This window comes from Homo sapiens, chromosome 2 (genome assembly GCF_000001405.40).
Source record: "Homo sapiens chromosome 2, GRCh38.p14 Primary Assembly".
Taxonomy (NCBI): Eukaryota; Metazoa; Chordata; class Mammalia; order Primates; family Hominidae; genus Homo; species Homo sapiens.
Window position 1 is genome coordinate 113,997,391 of NC_000002.12, and position 25,827 is coordinate 114,023,217.

Sequence of the window (25,827 nt, forward strand, 5' to 3'; positions counted from 1 at the left end):
GTTTAATATTTGTTCTAACATCAGGGCTCCCCCTAGTTGTCTTCTTCCCCACTTCTCTCCTATAAACTAGCCAGCCTACAGTCTAGGCTGTATCTTCATTAGATCCATGAATCTCTTCCCACTACAATCTCCATTGTTCTTGAGAGTGCCCTTAGGCTTGAACGTCCCTAGCTCTGTTGCAAATAAAGTCAGTTCCTTTGGGAAGAGTTTAGAAGCTATTTGTTTTATGGCCAGTTTTCCCTTCTAGGCAAAAATCTCTGAGTCAGGACTCTGGAGCTGGGGGTAGGGACAGTGCCAAGCCTCTTTTTGAGTGACACCCATACTCTAGAAGCTTAGGGGATGGGCTGCAGCCTAGGGTTCTCTCAGCTTGCCAGTCCTGGTGTGGAGCCACTGCCTCATGAATGAAGGCAAGGGCTATCAGGGCCCCAGTATTCTCAGTGTGCCACGTCCAAAATGAAGCCTTCATTTCATGGCTGGGAATTGGGAGGAAGAAGGGAGCACCCTGCATCTTGACTGCAGTCACCCAAGACTTGGCCTTGGCAACAATATGCTAAGGGCAGAATAAGAAATGTTACAGTCTTGCCCTGTGTTCTTGACTATAGTAGTCTGGAGTGCAGTTTCCACATCACGGAACAGGTGGGGAGGGAGATAAAAGGAGTCTTCATTCAAATACCACAGACCTTCACATTTTGTACTGAATTTTTATATATTCTCTTGAGTAGATGTTTCTTCATTGGCTTAGGGTAAACTCAAGTCCATTTCCAGAGGTCATTTATAGATCAAGACTCATATTGACTACGCCATTGTAAAAACATGGTTTCCAAGGTTGCTGTCGTCTTGGCTATTCAGTTTTGCAGGAAGAAGAAAGAGTGTAGAGGAGTGTCCACGGGGGATTTTATTGACCATGCCAGAAAGTAGGACACATCACTATCACTTATATGTTATGAGTGGGTAGAAATAATGTGTCTCACTCACCAGTGGAATGCAAGTGTTCACCCCAGTGGTGAGGGAAGTTGGGAAGTGCCATTAGCCATGGGTTTAACAGTTTTGCCACATGAGTACTTTAGATTTTCTCTTAGCTTATTTGTATTTTCTGATTTTGCACAATGGATCTATATTTCTAATACAATGTAAATATAAATAAATTAATAAATAGAGAACAAGCAGTAAGGAAGTAAGGGTAGGGAGTATAGACAATCCCTTCTAAGAAGTTTTGCAGGTGCCATTACTGGAGTGAGAAACTAGGTTAAGAAAAGGTTTCTAAATATGACGATTCTGGCATATTTTTGAAAGAATTATCCAGAAGACAGGAAACAACTATTAAGTCTTTGAGTTGGTTCTCCCTAAATGTTATATAGAGTGTCTCTTTCACTTGAGAGAGGAGAGGGAAATAAAGAAAGAAGGGTTTCAAAATGGTCACCCTTGCTGTTTCTTCTCATTAGACTGTAAGGTTCAGGATTTCAAAGCTTTCCTTGGAACATTTGGAAGCAGAAAAAAAAAAAAAGAAAAACCACCCACAACAAAACCAGTGCTTACTGAGCCTGACAAAGTAACAAATTGTGGAAATTTCCAAAGCTAATTATTGCTGTTTTTCTAAAAAATTCCTTTGATATGCTAAGAGTTGTAATTAGAGTCATTAAATACAGAAACCCTTGGGTTGCAAAGAACATAGGAATAACCCACTGATGTGTTGATTATGGGTGGGTTGCTATTTATCAACAGAACTTAGCCGTGACATACAAAATGAGACTGTCATGCAGTGGGGCTGCCTTTGCAAACTTTCATGGAGTTAACTCCAATGCCAGACATCTATTGGAAAATTCTATGACAGATAAAAAGAAGGCACTGTGGGAACATATAAGGAGAGAAGTTAATTCTCACTGAGGGAATTGGGATCAGCTTTAGAGAGGAGATAGCATTTGAACAAATTCCAGAAGGCCAGTAGGGATTTAGACAGGAGATCTTGGAGAGAAGATATCCTAGTCTGGGAGTGCCAACATGGCTTGAAGGCAGAGGACAGGCAATAGGAGGTGTTAGGAGTTAGCTTGGCTGTGGCTGGTAAATGTGCAGAAGCACAGTGGAAGGTCAGTCCAGAGAGGGAGTGACAGCACAGCCTGGAGGATGGAGGGTGATGCATGCCAGCTTAAGAAGCTGTGCTTTTTACTGTTAGTTCTGACCAGTTTTTAGAAAAACTAATCTACTAATAATATGGAGGCAGGGGTGAGGATGGAAGAAATATTGGAAGTCGACTAGAAGGAGGTGAGTGCACAGTTTGTTCAGGAGGTGATGACACACTGATTAGCGCTGGCAGAGAGATGTGGGGGAGATATTAAGACACCCCTAGAGTGTGAGGAGGACTTTTTACAGCTTCCGGAGAGGAAAAAGTGGTTATCACAAGTCTGCAGGGCTCTTTGAGCCTTCCCCAGATGTGGAACAGAGAAAGTTTGAAGTAGATGCCATTTTAAGAGCCAGGACATGGATTCTCCCTCTCTGCAAAACGTCCTTGCAAACTCTCGAGGGAAACCAGTGCTTCATGTTGTTAAAGTTTTACAAGTTATGGCATAAATTGTTCTTCAAGTGCCGAATGTAGTGACCAATAAATCACCGAGAGGATTCTCTGAGATTTGCAATTGTGGAATTACAGATTTTGTACCTAGTCTTGGATGCACTGAGCTGGGTCTACTCTGAGGCAGCAAGCTGCAACCCTGCCCTGTCCAGTCACCTCACTGTCACCTGGAAGAATCCTGTTCTTTAGTGGAAATAAGTCACAGACGTCCTCAAAGGCGAACGCTCCAGGTGCACCCCAGAGAGCTGCCCCACTAGCTCTGACTGGCTGATGCTGTGTTTGGCTCCAAGCACTTCTTGCTATAAATCCACCACAGGTGTCCTTACTCTCCATCACCCAGTCCTTTGTTCCGTCATTGCCTCATATTCATTTAGCAAGACTTCACTGAGAACTTAGAGACTCGCTGCTTCCCTGTGGGGCTACAACAGTAAACACCACAGACAGGCGCTGGTGGCGAAGACAGCCAAACAGACCAGGAATTACAAAACACTTCGAAAAGTGCTCTGATGGGAGAAACACAGAGTGCCGAGGGAACATGTGGGAGAGATGTTGGGGAAACTTCTGGAAGGAAGTGGCCAGGTGAGAACTTCAGTCATTTTGGATGAGTTCCTCTTCCTATGCTCCAGCCCCACATACTATCTTCCATGCATTCTGTTGATTCTCCGCTGTGACATCTACCAGGTCAGTCCTCTCCTTTCTATTATTTCCCATAAATAATTTTTCCAACAGCTTCTCTGGGAGGCAGAGTTAGGAAACCAGGCAGGCCCGGACATTCCAGCTGTGTGGCCTTGAGCAAGTCACTGAACCCCTCTCAGTCTCAATTTCTTCATCTAAAAAATGGGGACAACAATGCCTTACTCGCAGATACATCTTGAAAAACAAATAAGATAATATTTTAAAAAACAGCCCAAGGCCTGGCATTTAAAAGATAATCATTCCAGTTTCCTTTCTGAGCCTGCAGTCTCTTCTTTTGTTTAACATACTCTCCTCACAGCTGCCAAATTCATCTCCCCCAAACTTTAATCTTATCTCTCCCTTGCTCAAACATTTTCAGATCCCATAGCCTATGGAATAAAGGCTGTCAGTCAGGATCCCTGCAGAAATGACTGAAGAGAACATAAGGAAGGAGAAAGGCAGGGGTTCCAGGAGCACAGGGCAGGGGCCTCGCTCACACAGGCCGTTGGACATCTGGAAGCTTCCCCGAGGAAGTGATCCCAGAGCTGAGAGATAAAGGCTGAACTAGGCAAGAAAAAGGTGAAAGGAGGTGTCCAGATAAAGGCTGTTAGGGAGGAAGCAGCCAGTAGGGCTGGAGTGCAGAGAGCAGGGAGGTGATGAGATGGACCAGGACCTGTAGAGAACCCAGAGCCCAGTGGGTCGAGAGTTTGTCGGATTATTTGCCAGATGTGAAGCAATGAGAGCCGTGCCAGTGTTGTTTCCTTTGTTGTGTTTTGTTTTTGTTTGTGTTCGGTGAGACAGGGTCTTGCACTATCACTGGGCTGGGTTGCAGTGGTGCCATCTTGGTTCACTGTAACCTTGACCTCCCAGGCTCAAGTGAATCTCCCATCTCAGCCTCCTGAGCTACTGGGATTACAGGCATGCACCACAATGCCCTGCTCATTTTTGTATTTTTTGGTAGAGATGGGGTTTCCCCACGTTGCCCAGGCTGGTCTTGAACTCCTGAGCTCAAGTGATCTGCTTGGCTCGGCCTCCCAAAGTGCTGGGATTACAAGGTGAGCGACCGCACCTGGCTGTGCCAGCATTTTAAGCTGTTGCTTGTTGACATATCAGTTTTTCTTGCTTGGACAGGATAATCTCTGTATACCTTATGGTGAACACCACAGGTGTTCAATACATTTAACTGACCAGGTGAATGCAGTTGTAACTATAGAAATGGAGGGAGAGAATTCTGGTCACTGCATCTTCTGATTTTTCAGGTGAGAGTTCCTTGAAGCTTCACTGCAATTCCCCAGCCACAGAGTGTCTGAAGACTGCTGCAGGTCCAGTTTGAGTTGCTTTTACTCTCCAGGAACACACAGATGTGACTAAAAAAATCTGCATTCCCCTAAAGTAACAACATTCATGCTACTCCAGAGACCCAGACAAAGGGGAATTAAGCTTGCTTGAACTTGAGCCTGGGGACCAGGATGCTGATGGAGGCTTTGCAGATTCTTGGGTCTCCATGGAGACGAACAGACTCTGGCAAAATTTCCTTCTTGGGAGAAAGGCAGTGTTGGCTGCTTTCTTTCCTCTGGCCACCCTGAGAATGCAAGACTCATAAAAGTGCTGTGTATAGATTCTCTGCAGACACGGGGCCATTTTGTACCATTTCTGGCCTCTTCAGAGCCCTTCTGAAGTGCTCTCTGGCATCCAGCATCCAGGGTGTCCAGCTGCCTCCACAAACAGCAAGAGCTCATCAGTAATGGGTGACACAAGTCACACAACCAAGAGCCATGTGTCTGGTTCATAGCACCTTATGCAAAGTGAATGCTCACTATGGTTTTTAGCAAAAAATGTGTGGAGAATAAAGAGGAATAATAGCCAACTTTCCAGGTGACTGTCTTCCTTAGAGCTGAGAAACAAAAACACATAGTTCAGGCTTCTCAAATGTTAAGGGCTTACACTTAACCTAAAATTAACCAGAGATCTGGTTATAGAGAAGCTTCTGATCTGATTCAATAGGTCTGGAGTGTAGTTGGAAGCTCTGCATTTCTAACAAGCTCCCTGGTGGTGCTCATGCTACTGGTTCGAGGACTGCCCATAGGGCCAACAAGGAAGTAAATGGGGCAGCCAACTGTCAGCCAAATTCTGAGCCAGGGCAACAATCACACTTGATTTTATGTGCATGAGGTCCAGTGTAGTGTTGGAAGATTCAATTCTTTTACACCCGTGGAAATATATGAGCATGCATACTGTCTTCGTCTGTTAGTGTTGCTGTGAAGAAATACTTGAGGCTGGGTAGTTTAATAAAGAAAAGACTTTTATTTGGCTCACAGATCTGTAGACTATACAAGAAACATGGCACCAGCACCTACATCTGGTGAGGCCTCAGGCTGCTTTCACTCATGGTGGAAGGCAAAGGGAGCCAGTTTGCAGAGATCACATGCTCTGTATGTGTGTGTGTGTGTGTGTGTGTGTTTGTGTTTGTGTGTTAGAGAGAGAGAGAGAGGGAGAGAGAGAGGTGGGGAAGGAGATGCCAGGCTCCTTTTTTCAGGAAGAATAGGGTAAGAACTCACTCATTACCTTGAGGATGGCACCAAGCCATTCATGAGGGATCTTCTCTCATAACCCAAACATCTCCCACCAGGTCCCACCTCCAACACTGGGAATCACATTTTAAAGTGAGATTTGGAGGGGTCAAACAAACCAAACTCTAGCATATACCAAGCACATGAGTTGAATGTTATCTTTACACCAAACAGACTAGTGTTGTGGGCAAGTCAATATAGCACATGATTTTGAGTGATTTTTTAAATATTTCAGAATCATTGAATATTTTTAGTTTTTTTTTTGGTCATAGCTTCATTCCCTCAACAAGTATTTACGGAATATTTGTAATGTACCAAGCATCTCTCGTAGCAGTGGAAGGTACTCTTCCTATTCTCCTTAAGTTCCCTGTCTAGTGAGTGAGGCAGAGATAAAACAAAGAATAATAGTATAACAGTGTCGTGATAGTTCACACCAGCATTGTAGAGCAGCATTATGTGAGCCATAGATTTTAGCTGCCAATGTAATTTAGAATTTTCTAGTTGCCGTGTTTAAAAAGGTAAAACAACAACAAACCCCATGTGAAATTAATTGTAACAGTATATTTTATTTTAATCCACTGTAGTCAAAATTATCCTTTCAATTTTTTTTTTTTTGAGACGGAGTTTTGCTTTTATTGCCCAGGCTAGAGTGCAGTGGCACAATCTCGGCTCACTGCAACCGCCTTCCAGTTTCAAGTGATTCTCCTGCGTCAGCCTCCCAGGTAGCTGGGATTACAGGCGCCCGCCACCACGCCCAGCTAGTTTTTTTTTTTTTTTTTGTATCTTTAGTAGAGATGAGATTTCACCATGCTGGTCAGGCTGGTCTCGAACTGCTGACCTCGTGATCCACCCGCCTTGGCCTCCCAAAGTGCTGGGATTACAGGTGTGAGCCACCGTGCCCGGCCTTATCCTTTCAATTTGTAATCAATCTAAAAAGGTGTTCGTGAGACATTTTGCTTTTTTAAAAATGCTAAGTGATAGAGGATATTTATCCCCTCCAAATCTCATGCTGAAATGTGACCCCCACTGTTGGAGGTGGGGCCTGGCAGGAGATGTTTGGGTCATGGGGGCAGATCCCTCATGCATGGCTCTGTGCTCTTCTCATGCTAATGAGTGAGTTCTTGCTTTATTAGTTCCCAAAAGATCTGACTGTGGAAAGAGCCTGGAAACTCCTCTTCTCTGTTGCTCCTTGTCTGTCCATGTAACATACCTGCTCCCCCTTCACTTTCCACGATGATTGGAAGCTTCCTGAGGCCTCACCAGAAGCAGATGCTGGCAAAATGCTTCTTGTATAGGCTTCAGAAGTGAGAGCCAAGTAAATCTTTCTTTGTAAATAACCCAGCCTCAAGTATTCCTTTATAGCAATGCAAAATGGACGAATACACTAAGTTATCAGAATCGGGTGTGCATTTTGCCCTTACAAAACATCTGAACTTGGACTAGCCATGATTCACACACTCAGTAGCCACACATCTGAGACAACTGCAGTAGTCAACCACAGTGCAGGTCTATACAGTGGAGTCGGGGACAACTGCCTTTGCTGTGGAAGCTGAGGGGTGGGTCAGGGAAAGAGGTAATCTACTGCACTGCAGAGAAGGGTGGGACGGTCACATCTGGCGGGGGTAGAGAAGAGATTCGAGAAGCTTCTGCTACCGGTCCCAAGGAATAGATGGGTGTGGTGGGGAGGTGGGTAGCCACTCCTGGATATAGTTGAGAGAGCAGGCTTGGTGCTTAGAAATGGGCTCAGGCAGAAACCTCAGTGCTCTTTCATCCTGCCTCGCTCAGCTTCTCTCTCATCGGTGGCTGGTTGAGAGACTGTTGTGTCCAGGGGTGCAGTGTTTCTGGCTTCTTGTTCTAGCCCAGTGAATCTATTCTGAAGGGGTTCTGAGCCCAGGATGGAGCTAAGCCTTGTGGCTTCTGTTCACTGAAGGGTGACTATCTTCTGTCTTCCTTCAGGGCAGGCTTGCTGTGACCCTGTCCTCCTGCCTGTTTTTCTCTTGCTCCTAGAGCTCCAGTGCTGCTCTGAGATGATGCCTCAGTGGAGCCTCTGGCCCTTCAGGAAAGGAAGTTGCTGCTCTCAGGAGCTCTTTCCAGTAGGCTCTCCCAGTCAGCTAGAGCAGTGGCCATAATCAAGGGGCACTCATTCTGGTTCTGACTCAGACCAGAAAGGTGAGGCACTGTGTCAGGCTTTTTACAAACATTCCCAACTTATCTCCCCACTTTTTTTTTTTTTGAGATACCACTCAGACTTATGTCCTCTCCCTCTCCCTCTGCCAGAGGAGGAGAAGGACAATCATCCATGGCAAAAGGTAGTTGCAGTGAAGCAACACCAAAAGCCGGCTTCACCTCAAGAGAGGATGCTGCACCACCACCCGGGGGTTTCCGGGGCTCTACACGTTCAGAGAAACTTCTCTAGTAGCAAACTATAGAAACAATCCCTGAAACTACAGTCTTGCAATTCATTCCTCTTAATAAACCAGTGGGCAGGTATTGTCGTGCCCATTTTACAGATGTGAAAACCACAATGTGATACCACCTCACTCCTGCAAGAATGGCTGTAATTAAAAACTGAAAAATTAATAGCTGTTGGCATGGATGCGGTAAAAAGGGAAGACTTCTATGCTGCTGGTGGGAATGTAAACTAGTACAACCACTATGGTAAAGAGTGTGGAGATTCCTTAAAGAACTAAAAGTAGAACTGCCATCTGATCCAGCAACCCCACTACTTGGTATGTACCCAGAGGAAAAGAAGTCATTATACAAAAAAAATACTTGGCTCACACATGTTTATAGCAGCACGATTTGCAATTGCGAAAATGTAGAACCAACACAAATGCCCATCAATCAATGAGTGGAAAAAGAAACTCTGATATATATACATATCCAGTGGAATACTACTCAGCCATAAAAAGGAACGAATTAGTGGCATTTGCAGCAACCTGGATGGGATTAGAGACTATTATTCTAAGTGAAGTAACCCAGGAATGAAAAACCAAATATCGTATGTTCTCACTCCTAAGTGGGAGCTAAGCTATGAGCATAAGGATGACACAATGGACTTTGGGAACTCAGGGGGAAAAAGGGTGGGAAGGGGGTGAGAGATAAAAGACTACTAATTGGGTTCAGTGTATATTGCTTGGGTAATGGGTGCACCAAAATCTCACAAATCACCACCAAAGAACTTACTCATGTAACCAAATGATACTTGTTCCCCGAAAACCTATGGAGATAAAAAATTAAAAAAATAAAAAATAAAAAAGAAAGAAAACTGGGGCTCAGGAGATGAAGGCACTGGTGGAAGATCCAATAAGTGATAAGTAGCCGAATCAGGATGGAAACCGAGGCGATTGTGCTTCCCAAGGCCCCTGCTTTCTCCACAGCACACTTCTGCAAACACATAGATCCCAGAGATGTGTGTCTTGTACTTTGTACAGTAATCAGTCAACAAGTGTTTATTTAAGACTGACAGATGGGGAAGAATGCTATGCCAGGTGTGCAGGATATTGTTCCCTCCTTAGTGGCTTACACTCTAGGATGACATGCAAAAGCCTGTGATAGGTGAACAAGCAGTGAAATAGCAAAGAAACAAACAAACAAAAATCAAAATAGCTTCAGGATTAATTTGTGAGTGAGCCTAGATCCAATCAGCATTTAAATTCATAAAAGCTTTAACCTTGGCTGGAGGAGTGTCAGGCAGCAGCTTGGACATAGGTGAGGCATATTTTGAGCTGAGGGCAAGTGGGCCTTCCTAGACTTCCTAGAATCACACTTATAATTTGCCCAGGATTTAAATCTTATTGTTTTCTAACTTTTCCAGGCAGCAGTGAGGATGCCAGAGTTCATGGGTTTCTAGAAGACAAGTTTTCAACTGCAGATACAAACATCAGGACGTCAATGTATCTGCTAGGAGACACCCGGACAGTGTTGAGAACACAGAACCTGGAGGCTAAACCCCCAGCTTTCTATGCCAGCTGAGAGTCTGTGGGCACATTACTCAGCGTCTCTGAACCTCATGCTCCTCCCCTGTGACATGTAGATTGCTAAACCCATCTCACAGGGCTATCTTCTGCATTTAAAGAATAAAATAACACATGAGGGGTCTATCAATGTTTCTGACCTATTTATTTATTGTTAATCCTTTCTCTACACCGAATACTCTAACTAACCTTTTGGATTCTCACTTAATGAGAAAAAGCAAAATTAACTTGAGCAGCTTTGCTATGAACATTTGCAAGTAGTTTCAGGTGGGAATTTGCCTTCATGGAGAAGAGTGAGTGGATCTACATGGCACAAACTATTTCTTGACAACTCAAAAGTCATTCCCAATCTCCTTTCCCCTCAGGACCTCTTGCTCAGAGGCCAGAGCACCAAACGCTTGCTTGTACGGACCATGCAAGTCACTTCCGCCCCATCCATTCTCTCATGCTTCTATGCATTACTCAACAGAGAGTATGAGGACATTTAGTATGTGCCAGGCACTATTTTGGTCACAGAGGAGACAGACAGAAAGGAGAAATAGGTACAGTCATGCTCCACATGAAGATGTTTTGGACAATGACAGATGGCATATACAATGGTGATCCCATAAGATTAGAAGCCCATATTTTTACTGTACTTTTTCTATGTTAGAATATGTTTAGATACAGAAACACTTACCATTGTGTTAAAATTGCCTATAGTATTCAGTACAGTAGCCTGCTGAATAGGTCTGTAGCCCAGGAGCAATAGGCCATACCATATAGCCTAGGTGTGTGCATGGTAGGCTATACCATCTAGGTTAGTGTAAGTAAAATCTAAGATGTCCACATAATGATGAAATTGGCTAACCACATATTTCTCAGAACATGTCCCTGTTAAGTGACACATGACTATATATGCGTTAGATAATGCTATGAAAAATAAAGCATAGAAGGGATGGGGGAAGGGAAGTTGGAATGATGAATAGGAGGGTCAGGGATGGTCTCACAGCAAAGCTGAAATGTGAGCAAAGGCTGAAGGAGGTGAGGGGGTAAACTGGGAGGTTACAGGTGGACATCATGCCAGACAGAGAGAATAGCAAGTGCAAAAGCCTACTTAGGGAGCGTGCCTGGCCTGCGATAAAGCAGTGGGAGCCCGGGCTGGAATGTGCAATAGGAAGAGACAGGAATATGCAGCAGGGGTGAAGTCAGTGCAGAGACGGGGCGGCCAGATCACGCAGTCCTCCTAAGCCCCTCCGAGGAGCCTGGACTTTACTCTTGAGTATGGTGGGAAGCTGTTGGAGGGTTTGGAGCAGAGGACTGGCACGGTCCCACTTTTCCTTCAATGTGCTCACTGTGGTTGCTGTATGGAGAATAGACAGAATCAGGGAAGGGAAGAAGGTGGGAGCCATCCTAGGCACTGGCTCATATGATGGCACCTAGGACCAAGGGTGGTAGTGGAGGTAAGCAGACATCAGCAGGAGGCTTCTCGAAAAGTTTTTGATTTCCTAATAAAAAGAGACAGACTGTGCTGAAATGGCCCTTCCGCCTTTCCTCTTCTTCATGGCCATGACACTCTGACTTGCAGCAGCCATTTTTGGCTAAAACACATGTAGAGACATCATCCAGATATCGTTGAACCATGTCATCCAGGTATCATTGAACCTCCGAACAAAGGGCAGTGACTGCCTAGCTGCAGAGTTGTTCTTTTGTGAATGAACAAACTCCTGCCTGGGAATGCTCTGCAGTCAGGCTTTCTGTGGCTTGCAGCTGAATGCATCATCTTCAGTGAAACCATGCTCTCAAAGACTCCCCGCTCTCCTGAACCCCTTCACCAAGACCACACCAACAAGAAAGGCCAGATTCGAAGCTGCCCATGAGGTACTCCAAAAAGCAAAAGGCCCCTGTGTGACTGCAGGGGGAGGGGATCTCAAACACATTCTCTCTTAATCCCCATTCATCTGAGCTAATCTCCAAATGGACAAAGTAATCAATTTAAGTAATAAATATGGCTTATTCCAAGGGCTGAATAAATGGCTGGAACAATTCCCCAAACTGTGGTTTCCATTGAATAATTGAAATTATGCAAGGGTATGGAAATTTTTCAACAAATAAAACATGTCTGAAAATCTATTAAAGATATGTCTGCAAAAATCATTTGAAAAGGCCCAACTCAGCAATAAAAAATAAATTACATTTCCATTCTTGCTGTTGCTCCCTTTGGGAAAGAGCCCATTACAATCCAGTTCGTGGACAAATGAAACAGGCACATTTCGGAATAAACGACTCCCCATGTTCTAACCAGGAGGTTTAGACCACGAGATAATGATTCTACACTGAAAATAGCAAAACATCCCTTCCCTTCTTGTTGCTCCGATAATATATCTGCTGTTGTGTCTCATCAGTGGGGCTTTTGGAATCTGAGTTTTCTACCTGTGAATTTGAGTGACAGACAGCTTTGCTCAGAGATGTTAGAGCTCGTGTGGGCCAAGTAGACCAGCCCTATAGGGACCAAAGAGTTCATTGGAATCTCTTATTTGTGTTTTCGTCTTATCCTGAGCAACAGGGCTCAGAGGAGAAAGGCTCTCCAAAGGCTACACTGGAAAGTTGACCAAAGGAATGTAATTTTTGAACTGTGAGTTTAAAGGCCTTCTGGGTAATTTGTTTCCAATGTGATGCAGCTTTGTGAGTTGGCTTCAAAAGTTGGTTGAGTTTGTGGCTCCATCAGCCTCCTACACTGTCCTCTTCATATTGGGTTCAAAGCTGCTTCCTTGACTCCTCTTCAAATAAAGACCACATAGCTTAAAGTCATAATCTTTTTTGCTTCTGTTTCTTCTCGTTGGTTTTTATTTTTGCTCTGAGAGCTGGCCTGCATTTTGCTAAATGCCTTGGGCAAGGCATGATTTGTGGCTTCCCCTCTCCAGATGGGCATCAGCATTTAGACGCTGCACATTTGTGCTGGATTGGGCTGGCCATCCATATTTACCTGCAAGCAGAGGTGATTCATTCTCTGGGAAACTTGGCATGGAGAAGAGACATAACTTCTCCTCACAAGAAGTCCAGACCTCCTCTCTACTGGGAAATAGCAGAGCCATGACTGCATTGCTTACAGAAAGCCAGTTGCCTCTAGCCCCAAATTAAAAAAAAAAAAATCATTTGCCCACATGAATGGCCTGCTGCATGGAAGGCAGGCTGTTCAGTGGGGGTGAGATGATAACTAGCGGTTGAAGTAGGGCTGCTTCCTCCAAATACAGAGAAAACTACAGCTGTGCTACTAGTGTTTATCTTGTAAGCAAGGGAAGTGGATCTCTTAAACAAGACCAAGGCTCTTGCTGGGCATGGGAAGGAAGGTGGAGAATGGTTGTCTTTTTTCTTCCATGGTGAGAGCAAGCCTACTGAAGATTAGAAACAGAAGGCTGAGATGAGATGATTGCTTGAGGCCAGAAGTTTGAGACCAGCCTGGATGACATAGTGAGATCTCATCTCTACTAAAAATAAAAAGATTAGGCCAGGCGTGGTGGCTCACGCATGTAACCCCAGCACTTTGGGAAGCTGAGGTGGGCAGATCACTTGCGCTCAGGAGTTTGAGACCAGCCTAGGCAACATGGCGAAACCCTGTCTCTACTAAAAATACAAAAATTAGCCGGGTGTGGTGGTGTGCCATGTGCCTGTAATCTCAGCTACTCGGGAGGCTGAGGTGGGAAGGTCACCTGAGCCTGGGGAGGTTGAGGGTCTGGTGAGCTGAGATGATGCCCCCGCACTCCAGCCAAGGCAACAGAGTGACACCTTGTCTCAAAAAAAAGCAACCCACAAAATTAGCTGGGCGTAGTGCTATGCACTTGTAGTTCCAGCTACTCAGGAGGTGGAGCTGGAAGGATTGTTTGAATCCAGGAGATCTAAGCTGCAGTGAGCTATGATTATGCCACTGCACTCCAGCCTGGGTGACAGAGCGAGAATCTGTCTCTAAAAACAAACAAACAAACAAAAAACAGAAACAGAGTGCCTTGGTAGTAGAGTTGTGAGCACTTTCTTTTTTTTAGACAGTCTCACACTATTGCCCGGGCTGGAGTGCAATGGCACAGTCTCGGCTCACTGCAACCTCTGCCTCCCGGGTTCAAGCAATTCTCCTGCCTCAGCCTCACAAGTAGCTGGGATTACAGGCGCCCGCCACCATGCCTGGCTTATTTTTTTTGTATTTTTTAACAGATAAGGGGTTTCACTATGTTGGCTGGGCTGGTCTCAAACTCCTGACCTTGTGATCCACCCACCTCGGCCTCCCAAAGTGCTGGGATTACAGGCGTGAGCCACCATGCCTGGCTGAGTTGTGAGCACTTTCTATCTGCCGGACACAGAGCCCAAAGACTTTATATATTTTAATTCATTCACTCAACAAAGCAATGTCATGAGGAACCTGCTCTTATTAGCCCCATTTTACAGGTGAGGAAAAGAAAGCTTAGGGAAGGCAAGTGCCCTGCTCTGGGTCCCCAGGTAGCAAGGAGGGTGGAAAGATTTGGAGGCAGGCAGTCAAAGCCATCAGTCAGCCTGTACAGGACTGCTTTAAGGGCTGCCAGCATGGCTTCTGTAGATGCTCAAGGTGTGTAGAATTGAGTTTCTATTTCTTAGTGACCTGAAATCTGCTCTTTTACTCAGGTGTGAGCACCTTCTCCCTTAAATTCTCTCTCGCTGCCTCTTCCTCAATCGCCCCTTTATAATCCAATAAAAGGACTAGCAATGGCTACCCTGAAAGGGGAAGTTGCTTTGGGAACTTTCGGCTTACAGTAGTTCTCTTTTATTCACAGGGGATCTTTCCCAAGACTGTCAGTAAATGCCTGAAATTGCACCGAACCCTATATATACCCTCTTTTTTCCTATACATATATATCTATGATAAAGATTAATTTATAAATTAGGCACAGTAAGAGATTAACAATAATAACAAAATAGAACAATTATAACAATAAGCCAGCATCAATACTCTTGTGCTTAAGGCCATTATTAAGTAAAATAAGGATCACTTGAACACAACCACTGTGATACTTGGACAGTCAATTCGATAATTGAGACAGCTATTAAATGACTAAGGGGTGGATGGCACAGACAGTGTGGAAATGCTGGGCAAAAAAAGGATTCCCATCCCTGGCAGGATGGAGGAAGACAGCCTGAGATTTCATCGTGCTACTCAGAAGGGCATTCAATTTAAAACCTATGCATTGCTTATTTCCAGGATTTTTCACTTAATGTTTTTGCTTGACCGTGGGTAACTGAAACCGCACATGAGGGGGGACTCCTGCGCTTGTAGTGGAGCAGTGGCAGGCTGCACAGCTGACCTTGGCAGCCCTGGACCCTGGGACAGTCCATCAGCCTCACTGATTTTTCTCCCCTCAGTGGCAACCTGAAAGTAGCTTCACCTGTGGCTTGAATAGCATCCGGTAATTTCACTGTGGATTGTTGAGTTCACTGGCATGGCTGGAGGGGATAGCAGTAGAAGCATCTGTCAGAAGCAAGGCAGAAGCAAGAGAACCAGTAGGGAATACAAGGGACCATTTGCCAGTGCCCTGCTGCCACAATATCTGGTCTCCCAGGGTAGTCGGGCTGTTGACTGGGAAGATAACTGAGATTAATGTGACTTCTGGACCCCAGGAGGGTCTCTTTCCCTACCATCCATGTGCCCCATTCCTATCCTGATTTTTGAAATGTTATAATTAAACATTTTCATTTAAGGCTCCTTATCTTAAAAATCAATGGTGGATTAGCCAATAAAATGAAAGAAAGGAGAAAAGATTTTTTTTCTCTTTTTTATTTTTTATTTATTTTATTTTATTTTATTATTATTACACTTTAAGTTTTAGGGTACATGTGCACATTGTGCAGGTTAGTTACATATGTATACATGTGCCAGTCTGGTGTGCTGCACCCATTACCTCGTCATTTAGCATTAGGTATATCTCCTAATGCTATCCCTCCCCCGACCCCTCACCCCAAAACAGTCCCCAGAGTGTGATGTTCCCCTTCCTGTGTCCATGTGTTCTCATTGTTCAATTCCTACCTATGAGTGAGAACATTCGATGTTTGGTTTTTTGTCCTTGCGATAGTTTACTGAGAATGATGTTTTCCAATTTCATCCATGTCCCTACAAAGGACATGAACTCATCCTTTTTTATGGCTGCATAGTATTCCATGGTATATATGTGCCACATTTTCTTTATCCAGTCTATCATTGTTGGACATTTGGCTTGGTTCCAAGTCTTTGCTATTGTGAATAGTGCCGCTATAAACATACGTGTGCATGTGTCTTTATAGCGGCATGATTTATAGTCCTTTGGGTATATACCCAGTAATGGGATGGCTGGGTCAAATGGTATTTCTAGTTCTAGATCCCTGAGGAATCGCCACACTGACTTCCACAATGGTTGAACTAGTTTACAGTCCCACCAACAGTGTAAAAGTGTTCCTATTTCTCCACATCCTCTCCAGCACCTGTTGTTTCCTGACTTTTTAAAGATTGCCATTCTAACTGGTGTGAGATGGTATCTCATTGTGGTTTTGATTTGCTTTTCTCTGATGGCAAGTGATGGTGAGCATTTTCTCATGTGTTTTTTGGCTGCATAAATGCCTTCATTTGAGAAGTGTCTGTTCATATCCTTTGCCCACTTTTTGATGGGGTTGTTTGTTTTTCTCTTGTAAATTTGTTTGAGTTCATTGTAGATTCTCGATATTAGCCCTTTCTCAGATGAGTAGGTTGTGGAAATTTTCTCCCATTTTGTAGGTTGCCTGTTCACTCTGATGGTAGTTTCTTTTGCTGTGCAGAAGCTCTTTAGTTTAATTAGATCCTGTTTGTCAGTTTTGGCTTTTGTTGCCATTGCTTTTGGTGTTTTAGACATGAAGTCCTTGCCCATGCCTATGTCCTGAATGGTAATGCCTAGGTTTTCTTCTACGGTTTTTAACGTTTTAGTCTAACATTTAAGTCTTTAATCCATCTTGAATTAATTTTTGTGTAAGGTGTAAAGAGGGGATTCAGTTTCAGCTTTCTACATATGGCTAGCCAGTTTTCCCAGCACCATTTATTAAATAGGGAATCCATTCCCCATTGCTTGTTTTTCTCAGGTTTGTCAAAGATCAGATAGTTGTAGATATGCAACATTATTTCTGAGGGCTCTGTTCTGTTCCATTGATCTATATCTCTGTTTTGGTACCAGTACCATGCTGTTTTGGTTACTGTAGCCTTGTAGTATAGTTTGAAGTCAGGTAGCGTGATGCCTCCAGCTTTGTTCTTTTGGCCCAGGATTGACTTGGCAATGCAGGCTCCTTTTTGGTTTCATATGAACTTTAAAGTAGTTTTTTCCAATTCTGTGAAGAAAGTCATTGGTAGCTTGATGGGGATGGCATTGAATCTATAAATTACCTTGGGCAGTATGGCCATTTTCACAATATTGATTCTTCCTATCAATGAGCATGGAATGTTCTTCCATTTGTTTGTATCCTCTTTTATTTCATTGAGCAGTGGTTTGTAGTGCTCCTTGAAGAGCTCCTTCACGTCCCTTGTAAGTTGGATTCCTAGGTATTTTATTCTCTTTGAAGCAATTGTGAATGGGAGTTCACTCATGATTTGGCTCTCTGTCTGTTATTGGTGTATAAGAATGCTTGTGATTTTTGTACATTGATTTTGTATCCTGAGACTTTGCTGAAGTTGCTTATCAGCTTAAGGAGATTTTGGGCTGAGACAATGGGGTTTTCTAGATATACAATCCTGTCATCTGCAAACAGGGACAATTTGACTTCCTCTTTTCCTAATTGAATACCTTTATTTCCTTCTAATGCCTAATTGCCCTGGCCAGAACTTCCAACACTATGTTGAATAGGAGTGGTGAGAGAGGGCATCCCTGTCTTGTGCCAGTTTTCAAAGGGAGTGCTTCCAGTTTTTGCCCATTCAGGATGATATTGGCTGTGGGTTTGTCATAGATAGCTCTTATTATTTTGAGATACGTCCCATCAATACCTAATTTATTGAGAGTTTTTAGCATGAAGGGTTGTTGAATTTTGTCAAAGGCCTTTTGTGCATCTATTGAGATAATCATGTGGTTTTTGTCTTTGGTTCTGTTTATATGCTGGATTACATTTATTGATTTGCGTATATTGAACCAGCCTTGCATCCCAGGGATGAAGCCCACTTGATCATGGTGGATAAGCTTTTTGATGTGCTGCTGGATTCGGTTTGCCAGTATTTTATTGAGGATTTTTGCATCAATGTTCATCAAGGATATTGGTCTGAAATTCTCGTTTTTGGTTGTGTCTCTGCCCGGCTTTGGTATCAGGATGATGCTGGCCTCATTAAATGAGTTAGGGAGGATTCCCTCTTTTTCTATTGATTGGAATAATTTCAGAAGGAATGGTAGCAGTTACTCCTTGTACCTCTGGTAGAATTCGGCTGTGAATCCATCTGGTCCTGGACTCTTTTTGGTTGGTAAGCTATTGATTATTGCCACAATTTCAGAGCCTGTTATTGGTCTATTCAGAGACTCAACTTCTTCCTGGTTTAGTCTTGGGAGGGTGTATGTGTCGAGGAATTTATCCATTTCTTCTAGATTTTCTAGTTTATTTGTGTAGAGGTGTTTGTAGTATTCTCTGATGGTAGTTTGTATTTCTGTGAGATCGGTGGTGATATCCCCTTTATCATTTTTTTTTGCATCTATTTGATTCTTCTCTCCTTTTTTTTTTTTATTAGTCTTGCTAGTGGTCTATCAATTTTGTTGTTCCTTTCAAAAAACCAGCTCCTGGATTCATTAATTTTTTGAAGGGTTTTTTGTGTCTCCATTTCCTTCAGTTCTGCTCTGATTTTAGTTATTTCTTGCCTTCTGCTAGCTTTTGAATGTGTTTGCTCTTCCTTTTCTAGTTCTTTTCATTGTGATGTTAAGTGTCAATTTCGGATCTTTTCTGCTTTTTCTTGTGGGCATTTAGTGCTATAAATTTCCCTCTACACACTGCTTTGAATGTGTCCCAGAGATTCTGGTATGTTGTGTCTTTGTTCTCGTTATTTCAAAGAACATCTTTATTTCTGCCTTCATTTCGTTACGTACCCAGTAGTCATTCAGGAGCAGGTTGTTCAGTTTCCATGTAGTTGAGTGGTTTTGAGTGAGTTTCTTAATCCTGAGTTCTAGTTTGATTGCACTGTGGTCTGAGAGACCATCTGTTATAATTTTTGTTCTTTTACATTTGCTGAGGAGAGCTTTACTTCCAACTATGTGGTCAATTTTGGAATCGGTGTGGTGTGGTGCTGAAAAAAATGTATATTCTGTTGATTTGGGGTGGAGAGTTCTGTAGATGTCTATTAAGTCCACGTGGTGCAGAGCTGAGTTCAATTCCTGGGTATCCTTGTTAACTTTCCGTGTCATTGATCTGTCTAATGTTGACAGCGGGGTGTTAAAGTGTCCAATTATTATTGTGTGGGAGTCTAAGTCTCTTTGTAGGTCACTCAGGACTTGCTTTATGAATCTGGGTGCTCCTGTATTGGGTGCATATATATTTAGGATAGTTAGCTCTTCTTGTTGAATTGATCCCTTTACCATTATGTAATGGCCTTCTTTCTCTCTTTTGATCTTTGTTGGTTTAAAGTCTGTTTTATCAGAGACTAGGTTTGCAACCCCTGCCTTTTTTTGTTTTCCATTTGCTTGGTAGATCTTCCTCCATCCTTTTATTTTGAGCCTATGTGTGTCTCTGCAAGTGAGATGGGTTTCCTGAATACAGCACACTGATGGGTCTTGAGTCTTTATCCAATTTGCCAGTCTGTGTCTTTTAATTGGAGCGTTTAGTCCATTTACATTTAAAGTTAATATTGTTATGTGTGAATTTGATCCTGTCATTATGATGTTAGCTGGCTATTTTGCTCGTTAGTTGATGCAGTTTCTTCCTAGTCTCGATGGTCTTTACATTTTGGCATGATTTTGCAGCGGCTGGTACCGGTTGTTCATTTCCATGTTTAGTGCTCCCTTCAGGAGCTCTTTTAGGGCAGGCCTGGTGGTGACAACATCTCTCAGCATTTGCTTGTCTGTAAAGTATTTTATTTCTCCTTCACTTATGAAACTTAGTTTGGCTGGATATGAAATTCTGGGTTGAAAATTCTTTTCTTTAAGAATGTTGAATATTGGCCCCCACTCTCTTCTGGCTTGTAGAGTTTCTGCTGAGAGATCCGCTGTTAGTCTGATGGGCTTCCCTTTGTGGGTAACCCGACCCTTCTCTCTGGCTGCCCTTAACATTTTTTCCTTCATTTCAACTTTGGTGAATCTGACAATTATGTGTCTTGGAGTTGCTCTTCTTGAGGAGTATCTTTGTGGCGTTCTCTGTATTTCCTAAATCTGAATGTTGGCCTGCCTTGCTAGACTGGGGAAGTTCTCCTGGATAATGTCCTGCAGAGTGTTTTCCAACTTGGTTCCATTCTTCTCGTCACTTTCAGATACACCAATCAGACGTAGATTTGGTCTTTTCACATAGTCCCATATTTCTTGGAGGCTTTGTTCATTTCTTTTTATTCTTTTTTCTCTAAACTTCCCTTCTCGCTTCATTTCATTCATTTCATCTTCCATCACTGATACCCTTTCTTCCAGTTGATCGCATCGGCTCCTGAGGCTTCTGCATTCTTCACGTAGTTCTCGAGCCTTGGCTTTCAGCTCCATCAGCTCCTTTAAGCACTTCTCTGTATTGGTTATTCTAGTTATACATTCATCTAAATTTTTTTCAAAGTTTTTAACTTCTTTGCTTTTGGTTTGAATTTCCTCCTGTAGCTCGGAGTAGTTTGATCGTCTGAAGCCTTCTTCTCTCAACTCATCAAAGTCATTCTCTGTCCAGCTTTGTTCCATTGCTGGTGAGGAACTGTGTTCCTTTGGAGGAGGAGAGGTGCTCTGCTTTTTAGAGTTTCCAGTTTTTCTGCTCTGTTTTGTCCCCATCTTTGTGGTTTTATCTACTTTTGGTCTTTGATGATGGTGATGTACAGATGGGTTTTTGGTGTGGATGTCCTTTCTGTTTGTTAGTTTTCCTTCTAACAGACAGGACCCTCAGCTGCAGGTCTGTTGGAGTTTGCTAGAGGTCCACTCCAGACCCTGTTTGGCCTGGGTATCAGCAGCGGTGTCTGCAGAACCGCAGATTTTCATGAACGGCAAATGCTGCTGTCTGATCGTTCCTCTGGAAGTTTTGTCTCAGAGGAGTACCCGGCCCTGTGAAGTGTCAGTCTGCCCCTACTGGGGGGTGCCTCCCAGTTAGGCTGGTCGGGGGTCAGGGGTCAGGGACCCACTTGAGGAGGCAGTCTGCCTGTTCTCAGATCTCCAGCTGCGTGCTGGGAGAACCACTGCTCTCTTCAAAGCTGTCAGACAGGGACATTTAAGTCTGCAGAGATTACTGCTGTCTTTTTGTCTGTGCCCTGCCCCCCAGAGGTAGAGCCTAGAGAGGCAGGCAGGCCTCCTTGAGCTGTGGTGGGCTCCACCCAGTTCGAGCTTCCCACCTCCTTTGTTTACCTAAGCAAGTCTGGGCAATGGCGGGTGCCCGTCCCCCAGCCTTGCTGCCGCCTTGCAGTTTGACCTCAGACTGCTGTGCTAGCAATCAGCGAGACTCTGTGGGCGTAGGACCCTCTGAGCCAGGTGCAGGATATAATCTCCTGGTGCACCATTTTTTAAGCCTGTTGGAAAAGTGCAGTATTAGGGTGGGAGTGACCCAATTTTCCAGGTGCCGTCTGTCACCCCCTTCTTTGACTAGGAAAGGGAACTCCCTGACCCCTTGTGCTTTCCGAGTGAGGCAATGCCTCGCCCTGCTTTGGCTTGCACATGGTGCGCTGCACCCACTGTTCTGCGCCCACTGTCTGGCACTCCCTAGTGAGATGAACCCAGTACCTCAGATGGAAATGCAGAAATCACCAGTCTTCTGTGTCGCTCACGCTGGGAGCTGTAGACCAGAGCTATTCCTATTCGGCCAATTTGGCTGCCCTCTGAAAAGTTTTATTTTAATGAGAAGATTCAGACTTTTGTAATCAGAAAATCTATAAGGAACTCATTTATATTACACCATACATGTAAGCTATGTGTAATTTCAAAAAATAACGTTATATTTTGAGTTACATACATAAGCACCTGTGGAATGCCAAGGTCTTTTTATAGCTTTTAGTGTCTATTAGTGCTTTAGGTCTTAATATGGGCCTAGTTAAAATATAAGCACTCTTGAAAGATCACAACTTTCCATTAGTTTTCTATTGCTATGTAACAAATTACTACATATTTAGTGGTTTAAAACTGCCCACAGCTGGGCACGGTGGCTCATGCCTGTAATCCCAGCACTTTGGGAGGCCGAGGCGGGCAGATCATGAGGTCAGGAGATCGAGACCATCGTGGCTAACACAGTGAAACCCCATCTCTACTAAAAAAATTACAAAAAAATTAGCTGGGCTTGGTAGCGGGTGCCTGTAGTCCCAGCTACTAGGGAGGCTGAGGCAGGAGAATGGCGTGAACCTGGGAGGCAGAGCTTGCAGTGAGCCGACATCCCGCCACTGCACTCCAGCCTGGGCAACAGAGCAAGACTCTGTCTCAAAAAAATAAATAAATAAAATAAAATGAAATACAATAAAATAAAACAATGCTCATGTATTTGCTTTGTAATTTTTGGCAAGTCATTTCCATTTTTGGACTTCAGGTTTCCCCTCTGCAATGTGAAGTGGGAAATTGGTGAGTTGGAAGCATTTGCTAAGGGCCTTGTCAGTTTAGACATTCTGAAACTTGGTTCCAAGATAACAGAATTCTCTAATTTTACAAATTTTTGTCATTAATGACAAGGAAGTGTGACAAAAGGAATGAGAATGGCTCAAGAAAATGGAAACCTATGGAATAGCTACTGCTAATGGATCCCTTAGGGTTGCCTTGGTGTATGAAAAGAACTTTCAAATTGTAGTTTATGTCAGAGAAGAAGCAGGCCAGGAGTGGCCAAACTTGTGTCTCACAAGTTAATTCATTCAGGCACTCTTATCCTCAAGCATCAGGAAAAAAACTCCGTAACACACAAGTTTCAAAAATTAAAATAAAACCCAAGGCCAGGTGTGGTGGCTCATGCCAGTAATCCTAGCAATTTGGGAGGCCGAGGGAGGTGGATCACTTGAGGTCAGGTGTTCGAGACCAGCCTGGCCAACATGGTAAAACCCCATCTTTACTAAAATACAAAAATTAGCTGGGCGTGGTGGTGCATGTCTGTAATCCCAGGTTCTTGAGAGGCTGAGGCAGGAGAATCCCTTGAACCTGGGAGGTGGAGGTTGTAGTGAGCCAAGACCATGCCACTGTACTCCAGCCTGGGTGATAGAGTGAGACTCCATCTCAAAAACAAACAAAGAAACAAAAAAACAAAAAAAAACCACCCCAATAATAGCAAGGCTTCTTATATTTAGGAGCAGAGAGTGAGAAAGACAGTATTTCCTCCTGTCCTCCTTTAGACACAGTAGGATTGTACTTCTCCCCTCTGAAGATGGACATTCTATGTGATTTTTCTGTTCAGTGGAATGTGAGTGGAGGAGGGGCAGGTCACTTCTGGTTGGAAGTATTTGAGAGCTGGTCCTGGTGTGTGCTTCTCTTCCCTCCTGCAGTGACCATGCAAGTAGGTGTTGTCTGGAAGGTGCAAGAACTTAGGTTATACTTTGCACGACTGAGACATAAACCATTGTTATTTTAAAGCTTCTAAGACTTGGGGGATGTTTGTTACTGCAGCATAACCCAGCATATCCTGACTGATACAGCAAGAAACAGACCACACAGTTGACAAATAGCAGAGATTATGATCTAGAGAAATATCAGTTTTTGGAAGAGGAATTTAAAAAAAAACTCTGATAATCCAAATTCCCGGACAAACTATTCAGATTTTGTTTTTCTGCTCCCTCCCAGGCTTGAGAGAGTTGCTGAAATGTTAGAAAGCAAATAGCAGAGATCTGAAAGAGACGGAAAATCAGTTTGGATTCACAGATTGAATTGCCAACCTCTGGCCAACTGAGAGTTGCCAGTTTGCAAGCTTGATTTTCTTAGGATACACCTTTTACAATATCTTCTAAAATCTTCTCCTGATCTGCTTGTTTTAGTTCTGATGGGCTGCATGCAGTAAAGACATTGGAGTCCTGTCTTTAAACTAAATAATTTAGGATTTCTTTTTACGCTGTTGCTATGTTTGGGCCAATGTGTTTCACCTGCTTTCTTAAAAAACTTTTCCTGCTGCTTCTGACTCAGATCGATTTCCTGGAATATTCCTCTGAGCTAACTCTTTGTTCTCTCTCTTTCTTTCCTTCCTCAAGAGGAGGCTCTGTTACAAGTCAAACATCAATCCCCAAATCTAAAATTTAAGTCTTCCCCCTACTGAAATTGAGCCTACATTAGTTTTCTCAATACCTCCCATCCCATGAGATGGTCATTCTCAAATCCCAGAAGAGATAACATAAAGTTCAAAAGTAGGTATAAGTAAGCTTAGAAAAAAATAACCAACTTATTTGCTTGTTTATTTTTAAATCAGGTACTAAACAAACTCATTTTCTTTCCTTCTTCAAATTTGATTTTTAATCAGCAGTATACTCATGTGGTTCAAAATTAAAAAGATGTAAGTGAACATTTAGTAAAATGTCTCAGTCCCACCTCCTTCTCCCAGATTCCCAGTGCCTCTCTCCAATATGATTTATTATGTACTTTTAGGAATATATATTATGCATAAAGGATACATTTATATCTTTTATATAGCCCTTCTTTTCTCTCTTTTATACAGCTAGTATCATTCTATCCTTGTTGTTATGCTCCTTGTTGTTTTTGCTTAACAGTATATCTATCTTGTAGATCTTTCCACAGCAGTATATAAAGAGCTTCTTCAGCCCTTCAAATTCTGTTGAGTTCATTTAGTCAAATTTCATATTGATGGACATTTAGGTTGTTTTGAACTTTTGTTTTACAAACCCTGTTGCAGTAAATAATCTTTTTTCTAAGCCAGTTTGCATTTGTGTGAGTATATCTGTGGAAATAATTTCTGGAAGTAGAGTAGCTGGGCTGTTGTGTTAGCTTAATGGTGAATTTAAGGCATGAATGGGTGAGACTTCAGTGTCTATGCTCAAAAATATACATATTCTCCCAAACCGCACTGGTCAAGCCTAGCATATATATTTGTTCATAATTTCCAAGTGTTATCCTACCATACATCCACTAAATATTTATTTTGTGACTATTGTGTGCCAGGTGCTAAATAGGTGCTTGAGAGAAAGCAATAAAGAAAAGGTGTAAGAATGATGCATTACTAATGACTCATAAGGCAGGAGGGCAGTGTGATGATTAACTTTATGTGTCAACTTGGTCGGACTATGATGACCAATCGTTTAGTCAAACACTAGTCTAGATGTTGTATAAAGATATTTTTAAAGAAGTGATTCACATTCGCAATCAGCTGACTTTAGCAAAGCAGATTACCCATGACCATGAGATTGGGCCTCATCCAATCAGTTGAAGGCCCAAACAAAGACTAAAGTTTCCCAAAGAATAACAAGGAATTTTCCTTACCACTGTAATATAGTAACCCTGCTTGAGCCTCCAGCCTGCTGCCCTGCAGAATTTGTACTCAAGACATCAACTCTGACTTGAATTTCTAGCCTGCTGATCTGCCCTACAAATTTCAGGCTTGCCAGTGGCCACAACCCCTTGAGCCAATTCCTTAACATAAATAGTTCTCCCTGTATATATCCCATTGGCTCAGTTTCTTTGGAGAGCCCTGACTAATACAGGCAGGAATGATGACCTCCACCCAACAGATGAGCAAGCAGAGGCTGAGAGGGTCCATCCACATCCTCCTAGGAGCCCAGACTCTAAAACCAAAGCTCTTTCCGTTGCCTTGCCTTGCAATATTATTAAAACTCAAGATAGGATATTCACAGTGGTAATTCCATTACAGAATGTTAAGCATGTCTAATAAAGTGGCCAAGAGATGATTATAAATATTTCACTTTTTTACTTGATTTCTTATTGAAATGGAAAAGAAGCTAGTTCTTTATTTTATTTCATTTTATTTTAAGTTCTGGGATACA

At 43.1% G+C, this 25,827-nt stretch overlaps 1 long non-coding RNA gene and 1 other non-coding gene across 5 annotated transcripts in view; one reads left to right on the forward strand and one right to left on the reverse strand.

The window, feature by feature from the left end:
* Positions 1–25,827, forward strand: part of LINC01191 (long intergenic non-protein coding RNA 1191) — a 58,761-nt gene that overhangs the window by 28,069 nt on the left and 4,865 nt on the right. For 3 of the 4 annotated variants that reach the window (NR_148507.1, NR_034128.1, NR_148508.1), the window contains one exon: positions 9,629–9,920. The exons of the other annotated variant lie outside the window; for it this stretch is intronic. This is a non-coding gene — a long non-coding RNA (long intergenic non-protein coding RNA 1191). Of the gene's footprint in view, positions 1–9,628; positions 9,921–25,827 lie in introns of those variants that run through there. 4 annotated transcript variants of the gene reach the window in all.
* On the reverse strand, positions 8,050–8,265 carry LOC124906194 (small nucleolar RNA U3). Its single transcript, XR_007088772.1, has one exon. It is a non-coding gene; the product is annotated as a small nucleolar RNA U3 (small nucleolar RNA).